Raw genomic sequence first — 26,504 nt, forward strand, 5'->3', positions numbered from 1 at the left:
AAGACTCTGTCTCTTTAAAAAAAAAAAAAAATTTAAGCTGGGCTTTCTGGGCAGGCAGTGAGTGAATGAGATCCCTGGCACCTTGGAGTGAGATCAGAGTCTAGATCACTCACTGGGGCCCTGTTTCCCAGGAAGCAAAAAGGGAACAGGAGAGTGGCTTGGCTTGGGCTGGCATGGCGCAAAGGGAGTGCAGCCAGATGCTGTGGCGGCTGGGTCAAGTAGCTCTAAAACAGGAGAGCCTAGTGGGTTCTGCTGAAGCAGGATGTCTCAGCAAGCAGGCCTCTGACCTGACGACTTCCGGTCATTATTTAGAACGTCTCCAGCCCCACAGATTTACTCTGTTGGAGGCTTAAGGACTAAACCAACATTTACTGTCCAAGAGGTGGCAGTAACACAGAAACCAAAGAGGCAGGAACCAAGGTTGGGGTGGTGAGATGTCATGGGGTTCAGGGAGTGGCAGAGGGGAAGGCCTCTATTCTCCCTTTCCCACTTGTCTCCCTACCTCAGCCCCTGTTGCTCTGACGCTTCCCCCACCACTATGAGTCCTAGGCCCCTGTTGTTTCCTTGTAGGAGGGAGACCCCAGATTTTTATTTCTTCTCCCAACCCATTCCATTTCCTCTCCCTTGTGAGAGGGCTCTGCAGAGACAGGGCAGCAGAGAGAGACTTGGAGATATGCTGGGCTGTGGTCAGGAGGGCCTCATTTATCTAGTGAGCAGGAACAGGTTATATAGCAGTGATGCTTTCATAGTATTTTTCTTGAATAAGGTCCCCAAAACCTTATTAAGTTCCTGGTAGGCATGGAGCATTGAAGATGGCAGACATGGTGCAGTCTCTCAAGGAGTTTACGCTCTAGTGGAGAAAACAATCAGACAGCCTTAAAATACATGTATGGCTACTATAATAAATACTGTGAAGCAGGAGTGCACCACGAAACCTGGAGTCCTCTCCATCCTCCCCTTCTGTCTGTGCTGGCCCTGCTTGGCCACTTCCAACAAGGATTCTGAGGCATTACAGAGCACACGTCTAGGGTACAGGCAGTCTTGGCTTTGAAGTATTGTTGGCTTTGCCACTCACCAACTGCCACCTTAGGTAAGTTAATTAACCTCTTTGTGCTCAATTTCCTCACTCGGGAATTGGGGACCCTAATACTTACTTCATAGTGTTATTTGCAAGTATAAAATATAAGGCAGTTTTTATCGTTGTAAGGCAGTCTTATCAAGAGCTTTATGCAATGTCTATGCAAAGTAAATATGCAAGAAATTAGTGTTAGGATGCCAGATGCTGCTGTTGCTCATCGTCTCTTCCCACCCAGCAGAGGTAGTAACTACTTCATCCTCTACTTCTCAGCTTCTTATAGTATTTGTCTGTGGACTCTAACGTAAGCTATCTAGCATAATACTCATATCTAATTTTTCCTTCCACATTCAAGCTCCTTGAGGTACTTGTATTCCAAGTATCTAGTTTAATGTCTCTCATGTAGGTGCTCAGAACGTATGGTTAATTTTGAATAATAAAGCCAGTGGGACTTCTCAGAGGGCTGGATTGGGGGCTGGTGAGAGAAAAGGAGATGCGAAGGATCATTCTGAAGTTTGGAGTTTGGGTACCTGTTTGAATGGTGATGCTCTTAGCTGACCCAGGGGGTATGGCAAGAGGCCTTGGTTCTGGTGAGAGAGAGAAGACAGTGTTTGGTTTTGAGGAGTTGTCTTTGAGACGTTTTGAGATGAAGAGTGGGGATAGCAAGTAGGCAGCTGAATTGAAGGATCTGAAGCTTAAGAGGAGAGGACTAGGCTAGAGACCTGTTTGTGAATTATCTGTACATAGGAGGTAATTAAGGGTGTGGGCATGGCTGACACTGATGAGGAAGAAGGCAGAGCACCGGAAGAGAGGACCTTGACCTGAGCCTTGACCAAGGCCATTGCTAAATGCAGGTAGGCCTGTAGCGCACAAAGAAGCATGAAAACCAGGCAAGGTTGTGCAGGAGAAATCAAGGGCAGAGCTTCAAGGAGAGAGGGCGTGATCAACCATGTTGATTGCTCTGAGGTGTCAGGAAGGAGGACCATAGATAAGTGATTTATGGGTCAGGCACGGTGATTCATGCCTGTAATCCCAGCTCTTTGGGAGGCCAAGACTGGCGAGTCATTTGAGCCCAGGAGTTCAAGAACAGCCTGGGCAACATGGCAAAACACCATCTCTGCAAAAAATATAATCAGCCTGGCGTTGTGGTTTGCCTGTAGTCCCAGCTACCTGAAAGGCCAAGGTGGGAGGATCACCTGCACCTGGGGAGGTAGAGGCTACAGTGAGCCCTGTTGGTGCCACTGCACTCCAGCCTGGACAACAGAGTGACTTATGGGCCAGGCATGGTGGCTCACACCTGTAATCCCAGCACTTTGGGAGGCCGAAGTGAGAGGATCACTTGAGGCCAGGAGTTTGAGACAAGCTTGGGCAACATAGTGAGACCCCATCTCTATAAAATATAAAGAAAAATTTTAAAAGTGACTTATACCCATTGCTCTGGTTCTCCAAGTAGCCTGAGTGTACTATGTGGGGGAGCATTTTATGAGGGACTTTTGAGGTCCTGGGCATCCCTGAGACATGGCCCTGGTGGGTCCCCAGTCTCTCTCCTGTAGCTAGGAGCCTGGCATACACAGGCCATCTAGAAAGAACTTAGGCAGCATCAGTCTGCAAGGGAGGCAGAGTTTGGAGCACACTAGACTCCTGACACAGAGGCTGACCCATGGCTGCCTGGAGAATCTTCTGGGCTTGTGCAGAAAAGTTGGGGAAAGCCACCTTTCCCTACTGTGGCAGTCAAGGCTTGGTATAGGCCATCTTCCCTCCCTTCTCATCCATGATACTCTGAATGCCCTGTTTGTGGAACTTAGTGGACTCCTGCACCTCTGTCTTGGTTTCCATGAACCCCTCTGCCCAATGTGTGCTTGTCAGCCCTCCAGACCTGGCTTTTACAGAGCACTCCAAGACATTGCTCTACACACACTCAGCTCCACAGACACCTCCCTGTTGTTCTACTCGTTGCATGACCTCATAGTTATCTGCTTCCCCATCTGTTTCCTCCATCAGGCAGGGGTTTTCTCAAAGGCAGGAACTCAAATGCCTTATTGATCTCTGTTTCCCTAGGACCCAGCCCAGGGCCTGACATGGAGTAGATAGATGCCCGATAAATGTTTGATCAGATGATGGAATGAATGACTGCATAAGCCGAATAGATCACTGCTGAGTGCTCTTCCAGCTTTAATTTCTCTGGGTGGGACCTCCTTTCCCTTCCTTCCTTTGGATTCTGTTCTTACCTCTGAAATAGGTGAGATTAATTTAGAGTCCTAGGGAAGAGGGCTGCCTGCCTGGATGGTACAAAGGCTGGCTGTGGCTGCTCTGTGTTTCTCTGTATACCCAGTGTCAGGGATAGCAGCTGCTGTGGGGACACTGCAGAGTGTCCCAGTTCTGCCATGACTCACCATATGACCATGACAAGACCCTTTGGACCCTCTGTTTCCTCATTGTTTCAAAGAGATTTGTCTAGAATCTAGACCAAGCTTGTCCAACTCGCTGCCCGCGGGTCTGGTTTGAAGGCAGCTGCTGCACAGTAATGGGAAGGACAGTAAGCCCCACCATCGCCTTCCCTTTGCCATATAACCCTGTGACCTCAGAAGTCCCTGAACCCAGATCCTTGTTTGTAAAATGGAAAGGGATAGCTACCCACCCCTCCACTTTGACCTTCCTTTGGTGGCAGCCAGATGTGCTCAGGGAAACCTCAGATTTGTGAGTATGTTTCTACTGAGAGGCAGGAGGAGGAATATTATAGTCTCAGGAAGAGGGAGGAATGAGAGGGAGAGGAGAACTCTCACCCTTTCCACAGGCTTTGGGCATATGCAGCCAGCTTGGAAATGCTGACCATCCTGTGACCTGGCTACTATTGCATCAGGCTTCCTTCCCACCTGTGTCCAGGTCCTATCTTTGTCTCTTCTTTGGCTACCTCCATCCTTTTCCTTCAGAGCTGCAAAAACCTTGCCAAAGCCGTATGGTCCTGATGGGTGCAGAGCCCCTGTGCCTCTGGCTGCCTGTGAAGGGGGATCTGCAGTGCAGTGCCTGCCGTACCCCACAGGGAGTTGTATAGGAACCTGGGGATGGGGTGACTGAGGTAGGGGGCCAGAAGTGGCCCAGATGATACTCACTTCTGCTGGAACTTTTCTTTGTCCATCTTTCAGCATCCTCTGGTGGAGAAGGCTTAGCTCCATTAATGCTCTCCTAGGTCCTGGCTGTGTATTTTCTTTGGTATGGGAGTGGGGAACTGGGAGGGACTCATCTGTTTGCCACAGACTACATGTGGAGAGGGTGATTGGTGAGAGGTCATTTTGGAGATCTACACACCTCTTCTGACCCCTGGGACCACTCTCCTGAATCTCCTCATGGTCTTGGCTTCGGGCCCAGCAGGGCGTGGGTGCTCGGCATCCTGCTGCTTTTACTGTTTTTCCCAAAGCTCTGTTAGCTTCCCGTGGTTCCCACTGGCTATAGGAATCTTTATGTAAGGACTTCCCAGTGTTTCCAGACTGTATTTGCCCCCAGGGGTCACATTCCCCCCAACTATGCCTGCTGCTGCTTTTTCTGTTCCCGTTGTTACCTCACTGACCACTGCATTTTCAGTATTTGTTGTAGCCCCTCAGCCTCTGTGGCCCACTGTGCCACCTCTTCCAGGAAGCCATCCTTGATACCATCTTTCTGGTACCATTTTTGAGCATCTGTGGCCTTTGCTGCCTGTTAGATAATTAGCTCTGGAATCTAACTCCCATGTGTTTACTCCTGCTCTTAAGTACTCTGAACATTTTGAGGCCTCCCCAGGCCCTGGGTTTGTGTTGGACTGGTAGGGAATGGAGAGAAGAGTCAAATGTGGTTTCTTCCTTGGAGGAGCTCATAGGCCAGTGGCCTAAGACACCAGGGAAGCACCAGCAGGTGTGACAAGTGGTGACACACAAGAGAGGAGGGGGCACCTAGTGTGCCCCTGGCCTGGGCCTGGTGGGGGCTTAAGTGAGGAGGTAGGAGTGGCTTGTGCAAAGGCTGAGGCAGGAAGGAGTATGGGGAGACATGGGCTGGTGTCTGTGTTGTGTTAATTGGACTTGGACCCTTTTGAGGAGGGCTGGGCTTTCCCTGCCTTCCTCCAGTGCCCTCTGCAGAGTGGGGCACACAGGCCTTGAGGGGTTCTGGGGTCCACAGGCCACAGGTGGGGGTAGTAAAAACCCCCAGAAGGGAAGGAACCTGTCCAGGAAATCTTCGCTTACCTCTTTCAAGCTCTTTAGATTTTAAAGAGACCTTTCATATTTACTATGAGTTGCAGTTTTTTTAAGTTACAAAATTTCTTTACTCCATGCATGTTTAAATGGATAGTTTTTGCTACCATTTACATCAATTAGCTTACACACTTTGGGTTTTGTGTTTTTGTTTTGTGTTTTTAGAGAAAGGATCTCGCTTTGTTGGCCAGGCTGGAGTACAGTACTGTGATCATAGCTCATAGAGCTTCCTACTCATCTGCAGCCTCAAACCCTTGGGCTCAAGTGATCTTTCCCACCGCCTCCCAAGTAGCTGGGACTACAGGCATGTGCTACCATGTCTAGCTAAGTTTTTTTAATTTTTATTTTTTGCAGAGGTGGGGTCTTCCTCTGTTACCCAGATGGGTCTTGAACTCCTGGCCTCAAGCAGTCCTCTTGCCTCAGCCTTCTAAAGTGAGCGTATGCACTTTATAAAGGGAAAACCCTCTCTGAAGAGAAATATTTCAGACAGGGCATGGTTGCTCATGCTTCTAATCCCAGCACTTTGGGAGGCCGAGGCAGGCGAATCACTGGAGGTCAGGAGTTTGAGAGCAGCTGGCCAACATGGTGAAACCCCGTCTCTACTAAAAATACAAAAATCAGCTGGGCATGGTGGTGTGCATCTGTAATCCCAGCTACTTGGGAGACTGAGGTATGAGAATCACTTGAACCCCGGAGGCAGAGGTTGCAGTGAACCGAGATTGCACCACTGCACTCCAGCCTGGGCAACAGAGCGAGACACCCAGACCCAGAGAAATATTTCAGTGAAAGCATGTTTCATGTTCAGAAATTTGGGGTACTTTTGGTTATGGTTTTCTTGGCCATATCTTCATCATTTGGTGGGTTTAGTTTTCAATATGTCCTCCTGTCCCTTTCTGATTAAATCACTTCTGTATCTCTTACCTCATTGGCATCTCACTGTAGTCCAATGAAGGAGGTGCCAGGAGTGGTGATTCTATTTTGCAGATGAAGAAAATGAGGCTCAGAGAGATGGGTCCAGGCCTCCTGCCCACCTTGCCAGTGCTTTTGTTCATAATACCTCTCTACACCCTTTTTGCCTGCTGAGCGGTTAACAGGCTTATAAATTTGGGGGACCTCTGTCTGTTGGGCTATTTGGAAGTGGCTTTTTTGAGCACAGGGGATACTAGGACACAGGTTCCAACAAGAAACTTAGGTCTAATTTAGGGTCTTGGATTTGATGATTGGGCTCCCTCTCCCCCTTCTAGGGCCTGCCATGTGTCTGCCCCCTAGGGCAGGATTGGCTGGCTCTCACTGGCTGTGCTCTGAGGAGCCCTGCCTTTGCTCTTCTCTTTCTCTTCCCTAGGGTTCCTGCTGTCCTTGAACTCTGCCGGGGCAACAGGAATACTGCCCTTATGCACATCCTCGTGGTGGCCAGACAGGGTGGTTATCCCACTTTACTGGACAGGAAGAGAGCTAGTGGCAGGCCTGTGACTTGGCCTGATGTCTCGGGGGAGTCGGGGTGGGAGCAAGAGTCAAAGACAGGAAGCAGCCCTACCTTCAGAAGAGCCAGGCACACAGATGGGTCCTTTGTGGTTATTGTCTTCTCCCTTTCCCAGGTTCCAGACTGGCTGCCCGCCATATAGCTTGTCCCTTCGACAGCACCCTCTCTCCCCACTCAGTGGATTGGGTGCTGTCCCAGGGTGGGGGCTTACTCTCCTGCAGAGGCAGGTTCTCAGCTGGCCCTGAGGGTTGTATAGCTTCACAGCTCCCAGAGTGCTTGGGCATAGGGTGGCTCAGATGAGGAAACAGGCTCCTCTTTTAAAGGGAAAGCAACTGCCATTACTGGCATGTCCAAAAGGGGGATGCTGTCCAGGACTGCATGGCCCAGAAGCTCCGCTCTGAGTAACTGCTGGTCTCTAATCTCTGTGGTCTCAGGCCAGGAGTCTGTCCCTGGGCTGAGAAGGGAGGGGAGAAGAGGGAAGAGATGGAAAAGGAACATTGCTCTTCCCAGTCTCCCTGGCCTCGTCATATAACCTTTTATTTTACAAATTCAGTCTTGTGGCATTTTGCTTTAATGCTTAGAGCTGGCCCCAGGTGCCAGGCAGCAGGCACATTTCCTTCTGCCCAAAAAACAAAACACACATGAATCTGAGGTTGGGCGTGGTAAGGGCAGGCCAAGGCTGACCGTCCTATGTGGATATCTGTGAGGTAGTGTGCCTACATGTAAGGGTCTGTTGTGGGTCTACTCCCACGAAAGCCTTCATCTTACGATGAACCAGAGAGGACTGCAGACTTGCCAAGGCCTAGCTATATGCTTGGAGCCAGGATTTGAAACTTGATCTTTGGGGATGCACGTGCCTCAGACTATTGGTGAGTGTGCTGGTGGGGCACTGCAGGCTCAGGAAGCAGCGTGTCTGCATATGCTTATCTGTACACAAGTCTGTAAGAGTCCCCCTTCTCCCCATACAATGCCCCCATCCCTGCCAGGCTTCTTTTTGAGCTGGCGAAATAGCTGCTTGTATTCTTCTCTTCATGGATCATCTTTATTTCACCCAAGTTTGGGTTTGCACCTAGTGGAGCCTTGGCAAGTGGCCTTATTTGTCTCCACTACTGCCAGCTTTTGTAGGCTCCATGTCAATGGCACTAGGCACACAGGTAGACAGGTGGGCTGTCTCCAGACTTCTCTATTACCAGCACTTCCCAGCATGGCCCTCACAGCAACCATGTGAGGTAAGAGGAATTTCCAGTTTCCTGATGGGGAAACTGAGACCAAAAGAGTGAGGGACTGCCAAGGCCTCATAGCTAGAATTTAAGAGCTGTGTGGTTCTCCTCACTAAGCTGGGAAGGGGATGGTCAGGGAAAGCTTCTTGAAAGAGCAGGAGAAGGCAGATCTCCATCAGGGCAGGGAGCAGAGCAAGGCCCCAGGATTCTGCCTGGGGCACCAGGAAGCCTGGCTTATGAGAAGGTTCTCAGTCCTCAGAGCTGACATGTGATATACAGTCCAGGCACAGGTGTGTGTGGTCCCTCATTACTTCAGAGCCCCTTAAGAAAGACTGAATCTATTTCTTCATCAGAGTTTGTGAGCGATTCAATATAAGGGACTAAATCCCCCTCACTGCCCCAAGCAGCTTATCTTGTCACTGTCTACCATAGCCACATTTGGAATGGTAATGCCCAGGCCATTCCTGAAGCCCAGGCAGCATTCACTGTGGGCTTGGGGACATGGTGCCATTCCTGAAGCCTGGGCAGCCATCACCATGGGCCTGGGGACGTGGTGCTGGGCAGAATGAATATGCTGCAGCCCTGATGGGCTGTGCTGGCTGGGCTTTGCCTTCTTGGGTCAAGGCGAGCCTGGGCATTAGGCCTTTGTCATTATGCTATACATCAGGCTTCTGGGCTGCTACTTGTGGGATCCTGCCCTTGTTCTCAAAGAGTTCCTCCTTCTCACTGCCCCATCTTCTTCATAGTGACGGCCTCTTCGTACCCCTGGCTTTTCTTTTCCCCAGAGTTCCCCTGAATGTTGTCCTCTCATGGTTCTGAGTTGGGGAGGAGTGCTAGGTCATGGATTTTTGGGTATAACGTGTGACTTTCCTACTCCCCTAAGTAGTTCTCCCCTTCTCAAGCTCCTAAGTTCTGGGAAGGTCTCTTTTCCTGCCCTCCTGACTAATGGCAGAGAGGTCTGACCCAGACTGTGCCAGACTGGATCATTCGCTCTGTCACCTGCCACCAGGGCAGAGGCCATTCCTCTCTGGGGAGTCTCCTTGTGAATTTCTGGGGACCAGCTCTGGCTCTCTCAAGAAAGAGGATGCTGCCATATTTGTTCTGGGAGGCAGGAAGATGAAGGGTGAGGTTGGGAGGTAGCACAGGATGTGGCTTTCAAGAACCTAGTAGAGCATCTCACTGTGCTGCCAGGGCCAGGCTGGTGCCTTCTTACGGAAGACAGTACAAGGGATCAGGTGTGGCCAACAGGAACTTGGGAGCATTGGATGCCTGGCGTGGAGCTGCGCTATGCTTACCTGGTTCCTATCTCAGGCACCTGTTCTGCCTTCAACTGATCTCAATGGAAATATGTGCAGGAGTGCAGGCCTGTTGACTCTGTGTGTGTGTGTGTGTGTGTGTGTGTGTGTGTGTGTACAGTCACACTCACCTTTGCAAGAAGGTGTGGGAGGGGGATGACAGCAGCTCCACACCGGAAGAGCAGACTGGTTTCTGTTTCAAAAGGCAGAGTTTGTGGTTGTTCTGCAGTTTCTGATCTAGCCATTTCCCCTGATGGAAGCTCCTCCTTCTGTCATTGGAAGCCCTGTGTTCTCGGTTAGGTCTTTTATGGCCCAGTTCTCCCTGCCCCTGTTTCTACCCGAGTATAACTGTTCATTTTTGTTCCCCATCCCTATTTGGTTTTCCCTCCTTCTGCCTGTGTACCTGCCTTTTTCATTTCTTCAGTCATTAAGCAAGCCCTGGAGGGGCCCTGCCTGGCCTTAGGTATGTGAGCATGTATGTACGTGTTTGTATGCACGAGGCATCAAGTGTATTAGTACCACAGGAAGGAGCTTCTCAGTTGGGCCCTTGGTGGAAGAGAAGGGAGCCGGGGAGGTGGACATTTCCAGACTAGGAATCAAGATGAAATAGGGATGGGAAGCAACAGCTATTCTTGCCCTAGGTGTGGCTTAGTGTGGATGGAGCAGAGAGGGTGAGAGGGCAAAAGCTGGGGAGGTAAATTCCTGAGCCCTGTCACAAAGAGCCTTCAAGGCCATAGAAGGTGTTTGTTGTTTGTTCTCCTTAGACTGGCAGTGGGCAGCCTCGGGAGGGGCTTGAATGAGGTCTAGGGGGGTCAGAATAATGTTTTATGAAGAGCCAGAAGACTGGGGAAGGATGGCTGATGGGTGAGAACCAGGGGTCAGGGAAAACAGCAGAAAAGGCAGGACTCTCAGCTGGAGGACAGGCTGGAGGGGTTTGCTGAGGGGACAGGTGGTTCCAGGTAGAACCAGAAATGTGTCGGGGAGCTAGGGTTAGGGCCAGAAGCAATGCCCACTGTTCCAGGTGGGATAGATGTGGAGTTTTGTGACAGTTGCTAGAGGGACAGGACAGGAAGAGAGCATCTGGGGGAGTTGGGCCGTTAGGACATTCCAGGCAGGTTGGTGTGCAGTTCGGGCTGGAAGGGCTCCTGGGGTGGGGGCTGGCCAGGCAAATGCTGGCACTGCATCTGGCTCCGAAGTTACCAGGCCAGTCTGGGTTTAGAGGATTTTAAGAGGCTTCAGAGCTTGGGGAGTACTCAAAGAAAGTCATAGCTGTTGGCTAAGCCAAGCTTTTTTCCTTTGACCTAATCTACCTTAAATCGGTGATTTCTGGGCTGGAATGTCTGCCCTCCAGCCAGCAGGCAGCCCCTCCCTGTGCTGGAGAGTGTGTCAGAGCCTGTGCACCTTTGCTGAGGGAGCAGAGGAGTCCATTGGATGGGCCCCCTCCATGTCCCACATATAGTGCTGGGTGTTTCTAGCTGTTACGACTTTTGATCTTACCAACATCTTTCTGATGCTATTGTGTTACTCTTATGTTACTCTCTTCACAGGTGTAGCAGTGAGGTCAGAGTGGCTGTCACTTTATTGAGATCACATAGCTAATGTGAGGTAGAGCTAGGATTTTAGTTCAGCCAGTCTCACCCAGAGCTCGTGCATGTTTTTTCTACCACCCTGCCTTCTAGAGAAACTCAGTCAAGCCCTTTGCTTTACACATGGTAAAACTGAGACTCTGAGAAGTTAAATAAATTATTCATCATTGCCTCAAGTTTTAGTGGCTGAGGGCAGGTCATCTGCTATTCAAGCCCGTGTACCTCTCTGACTATGCCTTGTGAAGGCCACGGGAGCATGCAAGGGCCTTGGATAGCTAAGATAAGGAAATGGTCCCAGGCAAAATGGTGGTCTGGGTCCAGGATGGTTGCTGCTCTTGGACAGCCAGTGCCTTGGTCAGGGGATGGGGTGGGGATTAGGCCCCTTGCTGAGACTTGTGTGGGGATGGCTTTAGCAGTTAGGCATTTCAGGGATGCACCAGTCCTCTGGGCCAGAGCCTACTTTCTCCCAGGGATCCTGAGGCCCATCTTGACCTACCCAGCCCTGCCTCTGGGACTTTATGATTTGATTTGTGTGTACCTTGTGTCAGGAAGTGGTCCTCATGAACAGCCTTGGGTCCCTATTTCTTCTTCTGGAGTCTAGCTCTTTTGCAGGTCAAAATGTCTCAGTGAGGGAACAAAGATAGGGAAGGGACACCCCACAGAACCACCTTTCCCCCATATAGCCCTCTCTGACATCTCAGCCCTTACTTAGCAAAGGCCTATCCCTAGACTCAACCCAGCCCTCTTATTACCAGAGTGACTGAGTGGTCTTGGCTCTGCCTCTGGGGTTCCTCCCTGAGAGAGAGTGTAAGAATGAGGAAACCAGGCTGCCCTCCTTTCGGTGTTGACTCTGGGAGACCCCAGCTTGATCTTGGCCTCTTTGCTACCTTCCTAGTTGACATTCGTGAAATTAAGGAGATCCGCCCAGGGAAGACCTCACGGGACTTTGATCGCTATCAAGAGGACCCAGCTTTCCGGCCGGACCAGTCACATTGCTTTGTCATTCTCTATGGAATGGAATTTCGCCTGAAAACGCTGAGCCTGCAAGGTGGGAGTTAAGGGGGTAGAGGAGGTAGAGGATAGTTAGGGGAATGCCTGCTGGCTCCTGCCCAGTGGGAGGTATGTGCCCTCGGGGCAGCTATTGATACCTTGCTCACAGCCACATCTGAGGATGAAGTGAACATGTGGATCAAGGGCTTAACTTGGCTGATGGAGGATACATTGCAGGCACCCACACCCCTGCAGATTGAGAGGTAAGAACCACTCCTGAAGGGGTTAGGGCTGGGAGCATTAGGGACCAGGGGGACAGGGACAGCAGACCTTTGTGTGCCCAGACATCTCCCAGGCCTGACTGTAGATGGAGAAGTGGCCCTCACCTCAGGCTTCTCTCTCCAGGTGGCTCCGGAAGCAGTTTTACTCAGTGGATCGGAATCGTGAGGATCGGTAAGTACTGAGCTGTGGCTGTAGCCCAGCAGGGTGGGGATGGGCATCCAGAACCTTAGCCAGGCCTCTAAGTAGCTGCCCGGAGAGCCAGAGGACCCAGGGGACCTTAAGTGGGGCCAGGAGGGTGGGCAGAAGGTTCTGCCACGTGTAGCTTTCTGCACAAAGTCCTCTGGTGGCCTTGGTGTGAGCTGGTGAGAGGAGCCAGCCACATGCTGTGTGCCCTGCCACTATGGGCAGAGACTGGATGTGTAGAACTGGCTTTGGGTGTCCTGGAGGTGAGGGTGGCCAGTAGCGTGTGAAGGGTGCCCTGAAACTCTGGCTCTGAGACCTGGTATGGCAGCCAGAGGGGCCAAGGAGAGAAGGGGGAGCAAAGACCAGATAGTGTGGGTGCTGCACCATGGTGAGGTCCTTTGACCTGAAAGAAATGGGAAGCCATGGAAGGGTTCTGAGGAGAGGAGTGATGTGACCTGACTTGGGTTACTCAAGATCACTCTGCCTGCTGTGTGGAGAGCTCAGTTAGGAGCTGTTTCCACACTCCAGGTGAAAAATGAGAGGGCTTGGATCATGATGGTAATGGTAGGAAGTGGCTGGATTTTGGCCATGTTGTATTTTGAAGATAGCGCCAGAAAGAATGTCCTTAACAGATTGATTTTGGGGTGTGAGAGGCATTGAGGATAATAGTATGCTGTTTGGCTTGAGCAACTGGAAAACAGAGTCACCATTGACTGAGATGAGAAGATCATGGGACTAGCCCATTTGGAGGGAAGCTTGGGTTCAGTTCGAGGCATGTTAAGTTTTCTGATGCCTATTAGCTGTCCAGGGAGAGATGTTGAGTAGGCAGGTGGTTAGAGTGAGTTTAGGTACATACACAGTAGGGGCTACAGATTTTAACTTGGGAGTATGTAGATAACACTGAAAGCCACAGGGCTGGGTGAGATCACCTAGGGGGCAAGCAGACCAAGAAAAGGGCAGGGTCCAGTGGCTGATCCCAGACCACCCCCATATTAGAGATTGGAGGGGTCAGGGACAACTAGTGCGGTAAGAGGAGAACCCCCAGAGTGTTGAGTTCTGGCAGCCCAAGGAAGAAGACAGTGGTGAAATCTGACCGTTGACCCTTGGATTTAACATGGTGAGAAGAGCGGTGTCACCCTAGCGGTGAGGGGCTCAAGGGAATGAGAGGGAGCAAGATGACTCTTGCAAGGAGTTTTGCTATGGAGGGGAGCAAAGAAGAGGGCAGTAGCTGGAGAGCTAAGCAGGGGCAAGACAGGTGTTTTTGGTGGAAGAAGTAACAAGCTGTTCGTATGCTGATGGGAAAGAGACCACAGAGGGCAAGATCGGTGATGCAGGCAGTTGCAACCAGAAGGCCTCTGTTTCCTCACTGGAAAACAAGGACCCTGATAGCACCTACCTCCTGGGTGACTGAGGATCAGAGGAGGGGGCGCCTATATAGAGCCAGCCCTCCCTCCGCAGTGCTTGATCCACTCAGTGTGGCGCTCAGCCCCCTCGGGGAATTTTGGTGCCTCCTCCCAGGCTCTTGGGGCCCAGAGGAGGTGGTCCCACCCTCCCCTCCCCTCCTTGACACCACCTTCCAGGAGAGAAAGCCCCCCCCTTCCCCCTTCTTGTCCATCCTGTTGCCAGGTCCAGCAGTGTCCCCAGCCTCACATCCTGGGCAGGACACCCCTGGAGAGCAGGGGCGCTTGTTCTCTCAGTTTCTTTCCTGGAGCCAGGCCCTGTCTAGCCCCAGGAGGTGCCCAGTTGCCAGTCATTGTATTTGGTGGAGCATGCACCTCCTCCTTCCTCCCTCTCATGGGTTAGTGGGTTCTGAGGACCAAACTCCCAGCATCCCAGTGGGCAGCAGGTAGGGACCTGCTGCCATGCTGCCCCCAACAGGGAAGTTGTGAGTGAGCCCTGCCTTCTGTCTTGGATAGGCTGACTGCCACCTTGGCACAGGCCTCAGCAGTGCCGGTAGGAGGGGAGGCCTGGAGTGTGGTTTTTCTTCCTCCCATGCCTGACCCACTTTACTGAATCTGTTCACATCTTCCTTGCCAGAATTACAGGTTTTTTTTGTTTGTTTTGTTTTTGTTTTTTTTTTTTTTTTTTTTGCTCAGATGAGGAACTGAGGTCCAAAGAAAGGAAGGGACTAACCTCACCCCATGGGTTCTGATCCAGTCTTGCCCTCAGGCCTCCAGGTTCCCAGAATAGTGTTGTTTACCTGTCCAGCCCCAGGTGGGCTCGACCCACAGGTCAGAGGTCATGAGAAGCTGGATGAGACCACTGGGGATGTCCCTGTTTTCTCAGTATATCAGCCAAGGACCTGAAGAACATGCTGTCCCAGGTCAACTACCGGGTCCCCAACATGCGCTTCCTCCGAGAGCGGCTGACGGTAAGTGCCACCCAGGGCTGTCTGTAGATGGGGGCAGGGGAAGCCAAGAGCCCTTCAGCTGGGGGCCTGACTGCCTGACTGGCACTCCTGCTCTATACCATGCAGGACCTGGAGCAGCGCAGCGGGGACATCACCTACGGGCAGTTTGCTCAGCTGTACCGCAGCCTCATGTACAGCGCCCAGAAGACGGTGCATGAGCCACCTGCCCTCCCTCAACCCCTGCCCCTGCTCTTCCACCCCACACCCCAGCTCTGCCTGCCTCAGCCCTGCTGCCCTGCTTAGGGGCTTTTGGGTGCCATTTCTCCAGTTCTTCTCCTCTTGAGGCCTGCCCCCATCTGCTGCTCTAGCCTGCCTTCTTACTAGCCCATTTCCCACATGGCCTCCCAGGGGTCTTGCCCTGACCAGGTTCTGTTTCCTGCAGATGGACCTCCCCTTCTTGGAAGCCAGTACTCTGAGGTTTGGTTTGGAGTGGGGAGGTGGGGTTTTCCCTGGGCCCCCTTCATCTCTCCACTGGGCGATTCTTGATCCAGGTGGGAGGCAGTGGGAGTAGGGAACCATGCTGGACCATTCTGGGAAGCTGTGCTGGCTGGGAGTTGGGTTCTGCCTTCCGTGGGGCACCTTGTTGTCTGTTGACCATACTAGCTAGCTTACCTTCTCTCCCTGCAGGGCTGGGGAGCGGCCGGAGCTTTGCCGAGTGTCCCTTCCTGAGTTCCAGCAGTTCCTTCTTGACTACCAGGGGGTATGGCTGGGCTGACATTGGCCCAGGCTGGTAGGTTGTGGGGGGCTGGGCTCATCCCTGACTGGAGGCTTCTCTCATCCCCTGCCCTCCCTACCCCATCAGGAGCTGTGGGCTGTTGATCGCCTCCAGGTGCAGGAGTTCATGCTCAGCTTCCTCCGAGACCCCTTACGAGAGATCGAGGAGCCATACTTCTTCCTGGATGAGGTGAGCCCGATGTTTCACCCATTTTTTGTCAAGAGAATGAGTAGGGGTGACCAGGACCCCACCCGGGCTCCAGGAGCTAGACGCTCCTTAGGGATGCCACCTTGTTTCTACCTACTGTGCACCTTGCCCACCCCCAGTTGGGACAGAGCACTCTCTCTCCTACCCCCAACCTACCATCTTGGGTTGGACAGGGCAGGGACTCACTGTCTCTTCCCTTCCACATGTTTCTGGACAGTTTGTCACCTTCCTGTTCTCCAAAGAGAACAGTGTGTGGAACTCGCAGCTGGATGCAGTATGCCCGGACACCATGAACAACCCTCTTTCCCACTACTGGATCTCCTCCTCGCACAACACGTGAGTGTGGCTCCTTCAGGCCCACCCAGCTTCTTCCCCAGGAGGGCCCATCTGACCATACCTACCTGCCTCTCCTTGCCTATCCAGGTACCTGACCGGGGACCAGTTCTCCAGTGAGTCCTCCTTGGAAGCCTATGCTCGCTGCCTGCGGATGGGCTGTCGCTGCATTGAGTGTGCGTGGGGTCCAGGGCTGGGGGAGGGAAGATGGGAGGCCTGCCCGCTTGACCATGGTGATGTTGCTCCCCAGTGGACTGCTGGGACGGCCCGGATGGGATGCCAGTTATTTACCATGGGCACACCCTTACCACCAAGATCAAGTTCTCAGATGTCCTGCACACCATCAAGGAGCATGCCTTTGTGGCCTCAGAGTGAGTCGGAGGCTGGATGACCCAGGGGTTAACTTGGCTCCAGGTCTCTCGTTCTAGAGGGACAGAGGGCAGAAAGACTCCTCAAATGCCCTGTCCCCTCTCCCTCAGCCTTTCATCTTTGTCCTTCCTCTTGGCCTCTCCTCGTCACCTGCTCCCTGCTTGAGCTGTTGCTTCCCAAGTTACACTTTCTGTTTCCTACGTGTTGGGCCCACTCTCTTCTTCATGGGTCCTTTAGACTGTAGAACACATGCTCTTCTCATCTTCAGAAAACATGCCCTGGTTTCTTTAGGCCAGTGTCCTGCCAACTCCTTTGCCCTCACAGCCCAGAAGATTGTCTCTGTTCCCTGTGTCCCATTCCTTCAATTCTGTTTACTGCTTAAACTGTGGTCACTGGTCTCCCTTAGCTCACCAGGGCTCTAACAGCTAACTTTGGAGGCTTCTCCTCTCTCCTGGCCTCTTTGGTGTGAAACATTTTTCTTGCACTGCTGAGCAGCCTCCATAATTGGGCCAGCTCGGGACTGCATCAGTTGCCACCCTTTGGTTTCCACTGCTGCCACAGCTGTAGAACCCCTCTCTGCCCCACCAGTGGCTATGGCCTGCCTCTTTTCTGGGATAGTTTTTACAGACAAGAAGCCCCCAGGCCCTTGGCTTCCAACAGCTCACTGTGAGGGGCTACTTAGACCCAGAGAATTGCAGAATCTGTTTCACTGTGCTTGTCCCCCATCCCGCAGGTACCCAGTCATCCTGTCCATTGAGGACCACTGCAGCATTGCCCAGCAGAGAAACATGGCCCAATACTTCAAGAAGGTGCTGGGGGACACACTCCTCACCAAGCCCGTGGAGATCTCTGCCGACGGGCTCCCCTCACCCAACCAGCTTAAGAGGAAGATCCTCATCAAGGTGGGGTGGCGGGCTTATTGCGGAAGCCCCACACTTCTCAGTGCCTTGCCCAGGCCATGGCTTCAGCTGTTGGGCCTAAACCTGGGTGAGGAGGTGGGGTGAGGACTGGGGTCTGCATTGCCCTGTTCTGGTTGCCCCTACAGCACAAGAAGCTGGCTGAGGGCAGTGCCTACGAGGAGGTGCCTACATCCATGATGTACTCTGAGAACGACATCAGCAACTCTATCAAGAATGGCATCCTCTACCTGGAGGACCCTGTGAACCACGTGAGGACTGGGCCAGGCTGGGGGTGGTAGGCCAGTGGGTGTGAGGACCCTGGCTCACAAGTCCCTCTTTGGTCTGTTCCAGGAATGGTATCCCCACTACTTTGTTCTGACCAGCAGCAAGATCTACTACTCTGAGGAGACCAGCAGTGACCAGGGCAACGAGGATGAGGAGGAGCCCAAGGAGGTGAGGAACCAGCTCAGGTCTGGGGGCTGGGCCAGGTCAGGCCTGGGCCAGGGTCACAGTATCTTTGCTGTTGCCTTCCCCTGACAGGTCAGCAGCAGCACAGAGCTGCACTCCAATGAGAAGTGGTTCCATGGGAAGCTAGGGGCAGGGCGTGACGGGCGTCACATCGCTGAGCGCCTGCTTACTGAGTACTGCATCGAGACCGGAGCCCCTGACGGCTCCTTCCTCGTGCGAGAGAGTGAGACCTTCGTGGGCGACTACACGCTCTCTTTCTGGTAACACTTCCCATGCAGATGCGTATGTTCAGTCAGCGTGTGTACACAGACATCACATCACCCAGAGATAATCAGTTAACATTTGAGCCTTTGATCCAGGACAATAATTAGGCTTTACATGGAACATAATTTCACCTACATACACACACACACTCTCTGTCTCACCCCCCCCCCATACCCCTCCCTTTTCGGTTCATTTGAAGCCCACACCTTTGGTTCATGTGACTGCCCACACCTGAGCTCCTCAGGAGATTGGCCTCCCTCCTTGAGGCTCCCTCCTTGAGTTCCACCCTCATTTGGGGTGGAACTTGGTCTTTGGGGCCCTGGCCTGTTTTCCCCAGCCTCCCTCACTCTGTGTCTTCCACAGGCGGAACGGGAAAGTCCAGCACTGCCGTATCCACTCCCGGCAAGATGCTGGGACCCCCAAGTTCTTCTTGACAGACAACCTCGTCTTTGACTCCCTCTATGACCTCATCACGCACTACCAGCAGGTGCCCCTGCGCTGTAATGAGTTTGAGATGCGACTTTCAGAGCCTGTCCCACAGACCAACGCCCACGAGAGCAAAGAGTGAGGGAAGGGCCTGGGGGCGGACAAGGCAGGGCAGGGCCATGGGTGGTGCTGGCCGGGCCTGACTCTGCCTGTTCTCAGGTGGTACCACGCGAGCCTGACCAGAGCACAGGCTGAGCACATGCTAATGCGCGTCCCTCGTGATGGGGCCTTCCTGGTGCGGAAGCGGAATGAACCCAACTCATATGCCATCTCTTTCCGGTGAGGGGTGTGGCACTGGGTTGTGGGGCCTTGCTTGGGTCTGAGCTGCCCTGACCCTGTGTGACTGTTTTGTCCTTGTGAAGGGCTGAGGGCAAGATCAAGCATTGCCGTGTCCAGCAAGAGGGCCAGACAGTGATGCTAGGGAACTCGGAGTTCGACAGCCTTGTTGACCTCATCAGCTACTATGAGAAACACCCGCTATACCGCAAGATGAAGCTGCGCTATCCCATCAACGAGGAGGCACTGGAGAAGATTGGCACAGCTGTGAGGGGGCTGTGGTAGACGGGGCATGGCAGGGGAGGCAGGAGAGACCCAGAATCTTACCAGTCTCTGGATGTGTGTAACAGCAAGACCTGGTGTGTTGTAGAAGTTCGTGGGAGGGCCCCTGACTCCAGCTGGGAGCCACAGTGTGGGTACCAGGAGGGTGTCTGCAGGAGGGGACATCTGAGCAGCATCTTTAAGGATGGGGACAGGCACATAAGCAGAGGGTTCCTCATGAGTCAAGATGTGGAGTGAGGAGGTTCTGGGGCTCACACTGGGAGAGGTGCACACAGTGGAAACTCATCCACCTGGGCTTGGCCTGGACTCTGTCCTAGGGCAGATGAGATGAGGCTACCCAAGAGTGGTTGTGGAGCCTCCGCCTGGTGGATGGTATGGAGGGCAGAGCCACAGGAGGTGAGACCAGTGAGGGAAAAAGTCAGGACCCATGGCAGCACAGCTGGTGATAAGGGCCCTGGACAGAAGGAAGGGGTCTAGGACCAGAAGATCAGTTGAGAGACTGCTGTCGTCAGTAGACAGGGCTGGCTGGGGAGAGAGAGGCCTGTTGTCCACTGGCACCTGGGACTCAAGTGATGGAGAGGAGCGGCAGGAGGAATGTGGGGAGTGGGAAGGCTTTTCCTGACTTTGGGCTCAGCAGTGAACCAACAAGCCACTGAACTAAAGCACTGAATATGGGTAGTCTGTGAAGGGCCCACCTGCACATAGCTCAGAAATACTTGGGAGTTTGGGCATTTAGGACCTGAGAGATTTTAGAATCCTGGGCTGGGCCTTACATGTAAGAATGTGAAGAAAGGAAAGGGAACAGTGAGGCCGGGCCTGAGGCCTCTGAAGCCGTCTCTACTGAGGTCGAAGGATCCCTGTGGATCAGGTGCAAGTTTGCTGCACTGGGGGAAAGGGAAGCTGCTCCAGAAACCAGTAGCTGCTTTCTACCTCTGGGCTCTGGGGCATTAACATATCCCATTGTGTCCTGTTTCCAGGAGCCTGACTACGGGGCCCTGTATGAGGGACGCAACCCTGGCTTCTATGTAGAGGCAAACCCTATGCCAACTTTCAAGGTACAGCTCAGGCCTCTGGGCATAGGAAGCTGGGGAGGGTCCCCAGCTGCTTGGGGCTTCATTTCTGTGTTCTGGGCCATCTGTGGTCTTTGTGGAGAAGTGGTGGTTGTGGTTTTCCGAGGCCCAAGAGGTTGTGAGAGATGTGTGGTTGGTGAGCGACCGCAGGTCTCCCAGGGCCGACCCACTCCCTAGCCCCTACCCCTTAAGTCAGCAGTGACCCTTTAAACTGCTCCTGTGGGTGACCCCTGTTTCCTTCCTGGGCAGCAGCGGGGTAGGAGCTGGGAGGCACACTGGCCACTCATTCCCCGGCCTCATGGAGCCCTGTTACACAGGTTCTTTTTTGTTTTGCCTTTTTCTCTAAAAAGGCCTGGGCCCTATTTCTCACCCCCTCCCCTCCACAGCCAGGGGACCTGGAAGGAAGTTTTTCTTTCCACTTCACAGATGAGTGGTAGGGTCCCATCCAGGCCCCATATGCTTCCAGGTCCCGGGGAGGCACTCAGGGCCACTGCAGACCCTGCCTTCTTGGCCTGCCAGCCCTGACTCCTGGGAGCGGATTCAAGGTTCTCCCTGTGGCCCAGGGTGGGGCTTAAGGTTCCACCTGGGTCCCGAGGTATTTCACTGGCAGAGGCCCTGCCTCTCTGATCATATCTGTCCTGGAGCTTCCCTGCAGGGCAGTAACAAGAACTATAACTAGGGCCTGTTGATGGCAGTGTCATCTCCCACTGGCCTGACCCCAGGCAGGGAAGCCCAAGCACATGTGTGTGTGCACATGAAGCCCCAGGTTGGCAGTGGCAGGGAGAGCCTTTCTGCTCTGACTGGTGCTTCTCACCTCTGCAGTGTGCAGTCAAAGCCCTCTTTGACTACAAGGCCCAGAGGGAGGACGAGCTGACCTTCATCAAGAGCGCCATCATCCAGAATGTGGAGAAGCAAGAGGGAGGCTGGTAAGCCAGTGGTGTGGTAGGCCCAGAGTCCAAGGGCCCCAGTGGAGCTGGGGCCCCAAAGACATGCATTTGTGATGTGCTTGTCTCCTGTGTGCACCAGCAGTGCCTGCCTCACCCTGGCTTAGGCATGGGAACCCCTACCAAAGGATACCCTCCTCATGGGAGTTCGGGGTGGTTGCTGGAGGTCAGCACCCTGTGGCTCCCACAGGTGGCGAGGGGACTACGGAGGGAAGAAGCAGCTGTGGTTCCCATCAAACTACGTGGAAGAGATGGTCAACCCCGTGGCCCTGGAGCCGGAGAGGGAGGTAAGACCAGAACCACCTGAGTAACAGCATTCCCTATTCCCAGATTCTCCTTGGCATGCCCCCATCACACAGTCCCAAGCACGCACGTGCATGCACAGACACCTGTCACATGGGCTGGTCGCACAGCCCATGTGGCCATGCACGTAGTCTCCCATATACCTGTGCTACATTTGGCAGTCACAGGTACACCCACAAGATGTATTTGTCCCATGCACACGGATATCCCCTCACACACATATGCAGTAGCCATGCTGACCATTGGTGGGCTTTGCTTCCCACAGCACTTGGACGAGAACAGCCCCCTAGGGGACTTGCTGCGGGGGGTCTTGGATGTGCCGGCTTGTCAGATTGGTGAGCTCCCATCTGTTTCTCTTGCCCACTGTTCCCTAGGGTGAGATTCTTCTTTGTATCTCTTTCCTGCTCCTAGGGAGGAAGCTGATGGCTGAACCCCAAAGTCTGCCCTCACTCCAAGCTCTCCCCATGCTCTGGACATCCCCTTGACACCCTGGGCTCCCTTTGTCACTGTCAGCTTTGACCCCTGCATGTTTACCTATGCCAGGCACTGGGGAACCCGTCAGAATCAGCAGAACAAAGTTGATGCTGCTGGTTGGCTGACATCCCCAGGCCTAATGGGTTGTACCACAGGGATGTGACAGAGGCTTGGAGATGGGGTGGAGAGGGAGACACGGCCTGAGGAAGAAGCATGAGTCAGAGCTGAGTTGGAACACTGGCTCCACCACAACCAGCAGTGACTTGTTTGAGTTGTAGCGTCGTCATCTGTCAAATGGGCCAGCAGAGTAGTCCTTCCCCTCATGGGGTGTGGGAAGGAGGAAATGGGATGAGATAGAACTCATTTGAGCCAGTGCCTGCGGTGTGGAGTGGGGTGGAGGGGGTGAGATGTCTATTCCCAGCTGTTATCTGCTCTCGCCCTCCCAGCCATCCGTCCTGAGGGCAAGAACAACCGGCTCTTCGTCTTCTCCATCAGCATGGCGTCGGTGGCCCACTGGTCCCTGGATGTTGCTGCCGACTCACAGGAGGAGCTGCAGGACTGGGTGAAAAAGATCCGTGAAGTGGCCCAGACAGCAGACGCCAGGGTGAGATTCTGCTGGAACCTTCTGGGGGGCAGTGTGTGGGCCCGTCAGGCAGCTGAGGCCTCCAGCTCCCAGCACAGGCCCCCTCAGAGCAGTGGGGCAGCCGATGGCCTATGCTAGATAGGCCACAGCCCCTGCCTTAGCTAGGGATTGAGAAGAAACAGACACATAAGATGCAATGTGGTGTGTTTAGGTTGTGTTGAGTTTGAGATACTGATGGGTCGTTGAAGTGGGTCTGCTTAGTGGGCAATTGGATACACAAGACCAGAGGTAAGAGGAGAAGTCCTGGGCTGGAAGCAGGAGTGGAGTGGGGGCTGAGGCATAGAAGGGATGAGGTGGTGTCGCATAGGAAGAGAACTTGGGATGGATTGAGAAGCTCCATATGAGAAGGCATGGGCGAGGAAAGGAGCCCAGGAAAGGCAGGTCAGACAGACTGCAGGCCACTGGTGAGGGAGAGGGTCTGCTGTGTTGAGAGCTACAGAGGTAAAGACAGGAACGATAAGAACTTGCAAGTGCCCTTTGGATTCAGCAGCAGCTAATAGCCCTTGTGAGACTTTTGAGCTGCATCAGCAGCATGGCTGGCATTAGATGGCAGTGGGCAGCAGGGAGTCTGGAATGGCAAAAGCAGAGCCTTTGTAGGGCCTGTCCTTGAGGGAGAGAACAGGTGACTGGGGTTTGAGCAGGCTCTCATGCAGATGGCTGAAAGGAGCGAGCAGCGTGTGGGAGGAGATGGAGCCCAAGCTTAGCTGGTAGGACCAGCCTTCTGGAGAAGGTGGCCTCTTCCCCTGAGCCTGGGGGAACAGAGAAGTATTCTCAAGGGTTAGGGAATTCCTACTTGGTGGCCCTTTCACCAAGTGCATTTGGTAGATGGGTCTGTAGCTGCTTTGGAGAGGGCACCCGCAAGCCAAATAGAGAAGGGATAGGGTGCTTGCCAGGCTGTCCCCTAGAAGGAAAAGGTGCTGGCATACCAGGTGGTTGAAGGACTGGATCTGGGGGTCTAGGCTGAAAAGGGAAGAGTCTGAATGTAAGAGCCACTGAGGCCGGGCGTGGTGGCTCACGCCTGTAATCCCAGCACTTTGGGAGGCCGAGATGGGCAGATCACTTGAGGTCAGGACTTCGAGACCAGCCTGGCCAATATGGTGAAACCCTGTCTCTACTGAAAATACAAAAATTAGCCGGGCATGTTGGCCGGCACCTGTAATCCCAGCTACTCGGGAGGCTGAGGCAGGAGAATCGCTTGAACCCGTGAGGTGGAGATTGCAGTGAGCCGAGATCACGCCACTGAACTCCAGCCTGGGCGACAGAGCAAGACTCTGTCTCAAAAAAAAAAAAAAAAAAAAAAAGCCACTGAAAGAAAGTCCTCCAGGAGAGGATGGGTTGGGGTGCTTGTAAGTGGGCTTCTGTAGAGATTTGGCATGGAGATTTGCCATGAAGAGTGGGTGGTTATATTTGAGTTGGGGGCGCTGAGGCAGTGAGGATCATCCTTAGGACACAGATGGAAACCAAGCCAGGGGCCTGTATCCCCAGTGCAGTCACAGGTAACACAGAAGAATCATTTTTACCCCAGCATGAGGCTGGGTAATAAATGGTCAGAAAGTGTCATTTGGGAGTGTGGCCAATTCCAGGATCCCTGGAAGGTCACTGGGAACATGGGTGGTGATGAGGAGTCTGTATCCCCCACCCCCCCTAAGAGGGTTGGAGGGCAAATGTGTCCTCTGGGACAGAAAAGAGGAAAGATGATTTCAGGATGAGGCTGAGGACAGAGCTCCCTCATTTACTGTTGGGTGTGGTGTCTGGAAGGTACAGGGGAAGGTGGGAGAGGGGCCCAGAGCACCTGCAGTGTGGGCATGCCCAAGGTTGGCAGGGGCTTCCTTCTCCTGGGCAGGGCTGTAGCCTGGGGCTACAGGGCCTTGTGTGTGTCACCAGCTCACTGAAGGGAAGATAATGGAACGGAGGAAGAAGATTGCCCTGGAGCTCTCTGAACTTGTCGTCTACTGCCGGCCTGTTCCCTTTGATGAAGAGAGTAAGGGCCAGGGCCCAGGCGGGGTGTGCATGTGCCTGGAGGGCCTGGTGGGTGCAAAAAGAGTATTTAGGTATCCCCCCAACACTTCCTGGGTGGGCGGGCTCTGTAAGTGTTTTCCCTGTTTGGCCCAGAGATTGGCACAGAACGTGCTTGCTACCGGGACATGTCATCCTTCCCGGAAACCAAGGCTGAGAAATACGTGAACAAGGCCAAAGGCAAGAAGTTCCTTCAGTACAATCGACTGCAGCTCTCCCGCATCTACCCCAAGGGCCAGCGACTGGATTCCTCCAACTACGATCCTTTGCCCATGTGGATCTGTGGCAGTCAGCTTGTGGCCCTCAACTTCCAGACCCCTGGTGAGGAAGTCCCCTGTGAGGAGGGTGAGGAGGGGCACTGTGGGGCAGCTGGACTGGAATACACCATAATCTGCCTCTTCCAGACAAGCCTATGCAGATGAACCAGGCCCTCTTCATGACGGGCAGGCACTGTGGCTACGTGCTGCAGCCAAGCACCATGCGGGATGAGGCCTTCGACCCCTTTGACAAGAGCAGCCTCCGCGGGCTGGAGCCATGTGCCATCTCTATTGAGGTGGGTGCTGCTCATCTGGGCTTCAGGGTAGGAAAGGGGCTGCTTGCCGTTGGAGTCTGTTTATGTTGAGTTCTCCAAAAGTAGGTATTTTCAGGCATCAAGGTGGTCAGGGTGGGTGGGGCCTGAGCTGAGTCTTTGAAGGGGTGAAGATAGCATGCAGTCACTGTATGCATCTAGGACGTGCAGAGCCATGGTGTGACTTGTTCTGATGACTTGTTTTGTTCTGATGAGATCTTTTTTTTCCCTAAGGGGAGGTCATTTAAAAGATTTCTGTGTTAAAATAGTAATGGATTTAACATGAAGTAGATTGCAAAACTCACATGGAAATTTTGGCTAAAGCTCAGACTTCAGATAAACTACAGGCAGCAGCTGCTCTGGACAGCTTAGGGTCCCTGATGTCGTGAGGGACTCCATGGGCAGTGTCCCGGGGGCCCAGCAGAGGGCGCGCTGCCTCCACTCCACAGATGCTGACTGAGCCTCCGCAGTGGGGAATTGGAGGGAGCAGGAAGGACAATCCCAGGCCCTTCTTTGTCTGCCTACAGGTGCTGGGGGCCCGACATCTGCCAAAGAATGGCCGAGGCATTGTGTGTCCTTTTGTGGAGATTGAGGTGGCTGGAGCTGAGTATGACAGCACCAAGCAGAAGACAGAGTTTGTGGGTCAGTCTGTCTTCCCAGTCATCCTCCTCATCCTGCTGGGGCACTGCAAGCCTCTCCCCACCAGTCATCCCATCCTCTCCCACGGTGACCTGAAGCCTTTTGTCGTTGCCTTCACAGTGGACAATGGACTCAACCCTGTATGGCCAGCCAAGCCCTTCCACTTCCAGATCAGTAACCCTGAATTTGCCTTTCTGCGCTTCGTGGTGTATGAGGAAGACATGTTTAGTGACCAGAATTTCCTGGCTCAGGCTACTTTCCCAGTAAAAGGCCTGAAGACAGGTGAGGACCATTCCTGGAGGCAGTGCCCCTGCAATCTTGCTGGCAGGGTGGGGCTGGGCCCCTTGCTCTGTCCCTCGTGGGCTGAGGGCCAGGCTTTTCCTCCTCCTAGGATACAGAGCAGTGCCTTTGAAGAACAACTACAGTGAGGACCTGGAGTTGGCCTCCCTGCTGATCAAGATTGACATTTTCCCTGCCAAGGTATCTGCAGCAGGGGTGGGCTGGCCTGGGGTAGGTGGGAGGAGAGCCAGGCAGCAGCCTCTAGAAGTGCAGAGGAGTCATTGACCCTCTTGTGCACCTGGCTTCGTTGAAGCAGGAGAATGGTGACCTCAGTCCCTTCAGTGGTACGTCCCTGCGGGAGCGGGGCTCAGATGCCTCAGGCCAGCTGTTTCATGGCCGAGCCCGGGAAGGCTCCTTTGAATCCCGCTACCAGCAGCCGTTTGAGGACTTCCGCATCTCCCAGGAGCATCTCGCAGACCATTTTGACAGTCGAGAACGAAGGTGAGGAAGATGGAGGGGTGCTAGAGC

General features: G+C 53.5%; 1 protein-coding gene and 1 non-coding gene across 7 annotated transcripts in view, besides 3 other annotated features; both read left to right on the forward strand.

The window, feature by feature from the left end:
* The window catches only part of PLCG1 (phospholipase C gamma 1), a 40,084-nt gene that overhangs the window by 10,292 nt on the left and 3,288 nt on the right, over positions 1-26,504 (forward strand). The window contains exons 2-31 of one of the 6 annotated variants that reach the window (NM_002660.3): positions 11,772-11,924; positions 12,036-12,129; positions 12,272-12,319; positions 14,618-14,702; positions 14,808-14,891; positions 15,124-15,158; positions 15,369-15,441; positions 15,544-15,645; positions 15,881-15,999; positions 16,087-16,172; positions 16,247-16,367; positions 17,099-17,267; positions 17,411-17,533; positions 17,616-17,717; positions 17,805-17,992; positions 18,360-18,560; positions 18,642-18,761; positions 18,845-19,025; positions 20,018-20,095; positions 20,933-21,036; positions 21,245-21,341; positions 21,623-21,692; positions 22,278-22,435; positions 24,359-24,455; positions 24,587-24,811; positions 24,895-25,043; positions 25,586-25,700; positions 25,818-25,979; positions 26,089-26,177; positions 26,290-26,477. In NM_002660.3, the coding sequence (NP_002651.2) occupies positions 11,772-11,924; positions 12,036-12,129; positions 12,272-12,319; positions 14,618-14,702; positions 14,808-14,891; positions 15,124-15,158; positions 15,369-15,441; positions 15,544-15,645; positions 15,881-15,999; positions 16,087-16,172; positions 16,247-16,367; positions 17,099-17,267; positions 17,411-17,533; positions 17,616-17,717; positions 17,805-17,992; positions 18,360-18,560; positions 18,642-18,761; positions 18,845-19,025; positions 20,018-20,095; positions 20,933-21,036; positions 21,245-21,341; positions 21,623-21,692; positions 22,278-22,435; positions 24,359-24,455; positions 24,587-24,811; positions 24,895-25,043; positions 25,586-25,700; positions 25,818-25,979; positions 26,089-26,177; positions 26,290-26,477 (3,616 nt within the window). Of the gene's footprint in view, positions 1-11,771; positions 11,925-12,035; positions 12,130-12,271; positions 12,320-14,617; positions 14,703-14,807; positions 14,892-15,123; positions 15,159-15,368; positions 15,442-15,543; positions 15,646-15,880; positions 16,000-16,086; positions 16,173-16,246; positions 16,368-17,098; positions 17,268-17,410; positions 17,534-17,615; positions 17,718-17,804; positions 17,993-18,359; positions 18,561-18,641; positions 18,762-18,844; positions 19,026-20,017; positions 20,096-20,932; positions 21,037-21,244; positions 21,342-21,622; positions 21,693-22,277; positions 22,436-24,358; positions 24,456-24,586; positions 24,812-24,894; positions 25,044-25,585; positions 25,980-26,088; positions 26,178-26,289; positions 26,478-26,504 lie in introns of those variants that run through there. The other 5 variants (NM_182811.2, XM_005260438.3, XM_047440207.1 and 2 more) reach the window with 5 other exon arrangements.
* Positions 9,593-9,742: an enhancer, noted in NCBI's record as "active region_17890". NCBI's record gives its function as "activates an Ori minimal core promoter by ATAC-STARR-seq in GM12878 lymphoblastoid cells {active_cell/tissue: GM12878}" and the evidence as "EXISTENCE:reporter gene assay evidence [ECO:0000049][PMID:35858748]".
* Positions 10,239-10,759: an enhancer, noted in NCBI's record as "H3K4me1 hESC enhancer chr20:39786713-39787233 (GRCh37/hg19 assembly coordinates)". NCBI's record gives its function as "activates a minimal SCP1, AML or CMV promoter by ChIP-STARR-seq in naive H9 embryonic stem cells {active_cell/tissue: H9 hESC(naive)}" and the evidence as "EXISTENCE:reporter gene assay evidence [ECO:0000049][PMID:30033119]".
* MIR6871 (microRNA 6871) lies at positions 21,189-21,244 on the forward strand. The gene has a single exon (NR_106931.1). It is a non-coding gene; the product is annotated as a microRNA 6871 (primary transcript).
* Positions 25,681-25,730: an enhancer, noted in NCBI's record as "active region_17891". NCBI's record gives its function as "activates an Ori minimal core promoter by ATAC-STARR-seq in GM12878 lymphoblastoid cells {active_cell/tissue: GM12878}" and the evidence as "EXISTENCE:reporter gene assay evidence [ECO:0000049][PMID:35858748]".

This window comes from Homo sapiens, chromosome 20, assembly GCF_000001405.40.
Source record: "Homo sapiens chromosome 20, GRCh38.p14 Primary Assembly".
Classification (NCBI taxonomy): domain Eukaryota; kingdom Metazoa; phylum Chordata; class Mammalia; order Primates; family Hominidae; genus Homo; species Homo sapiens.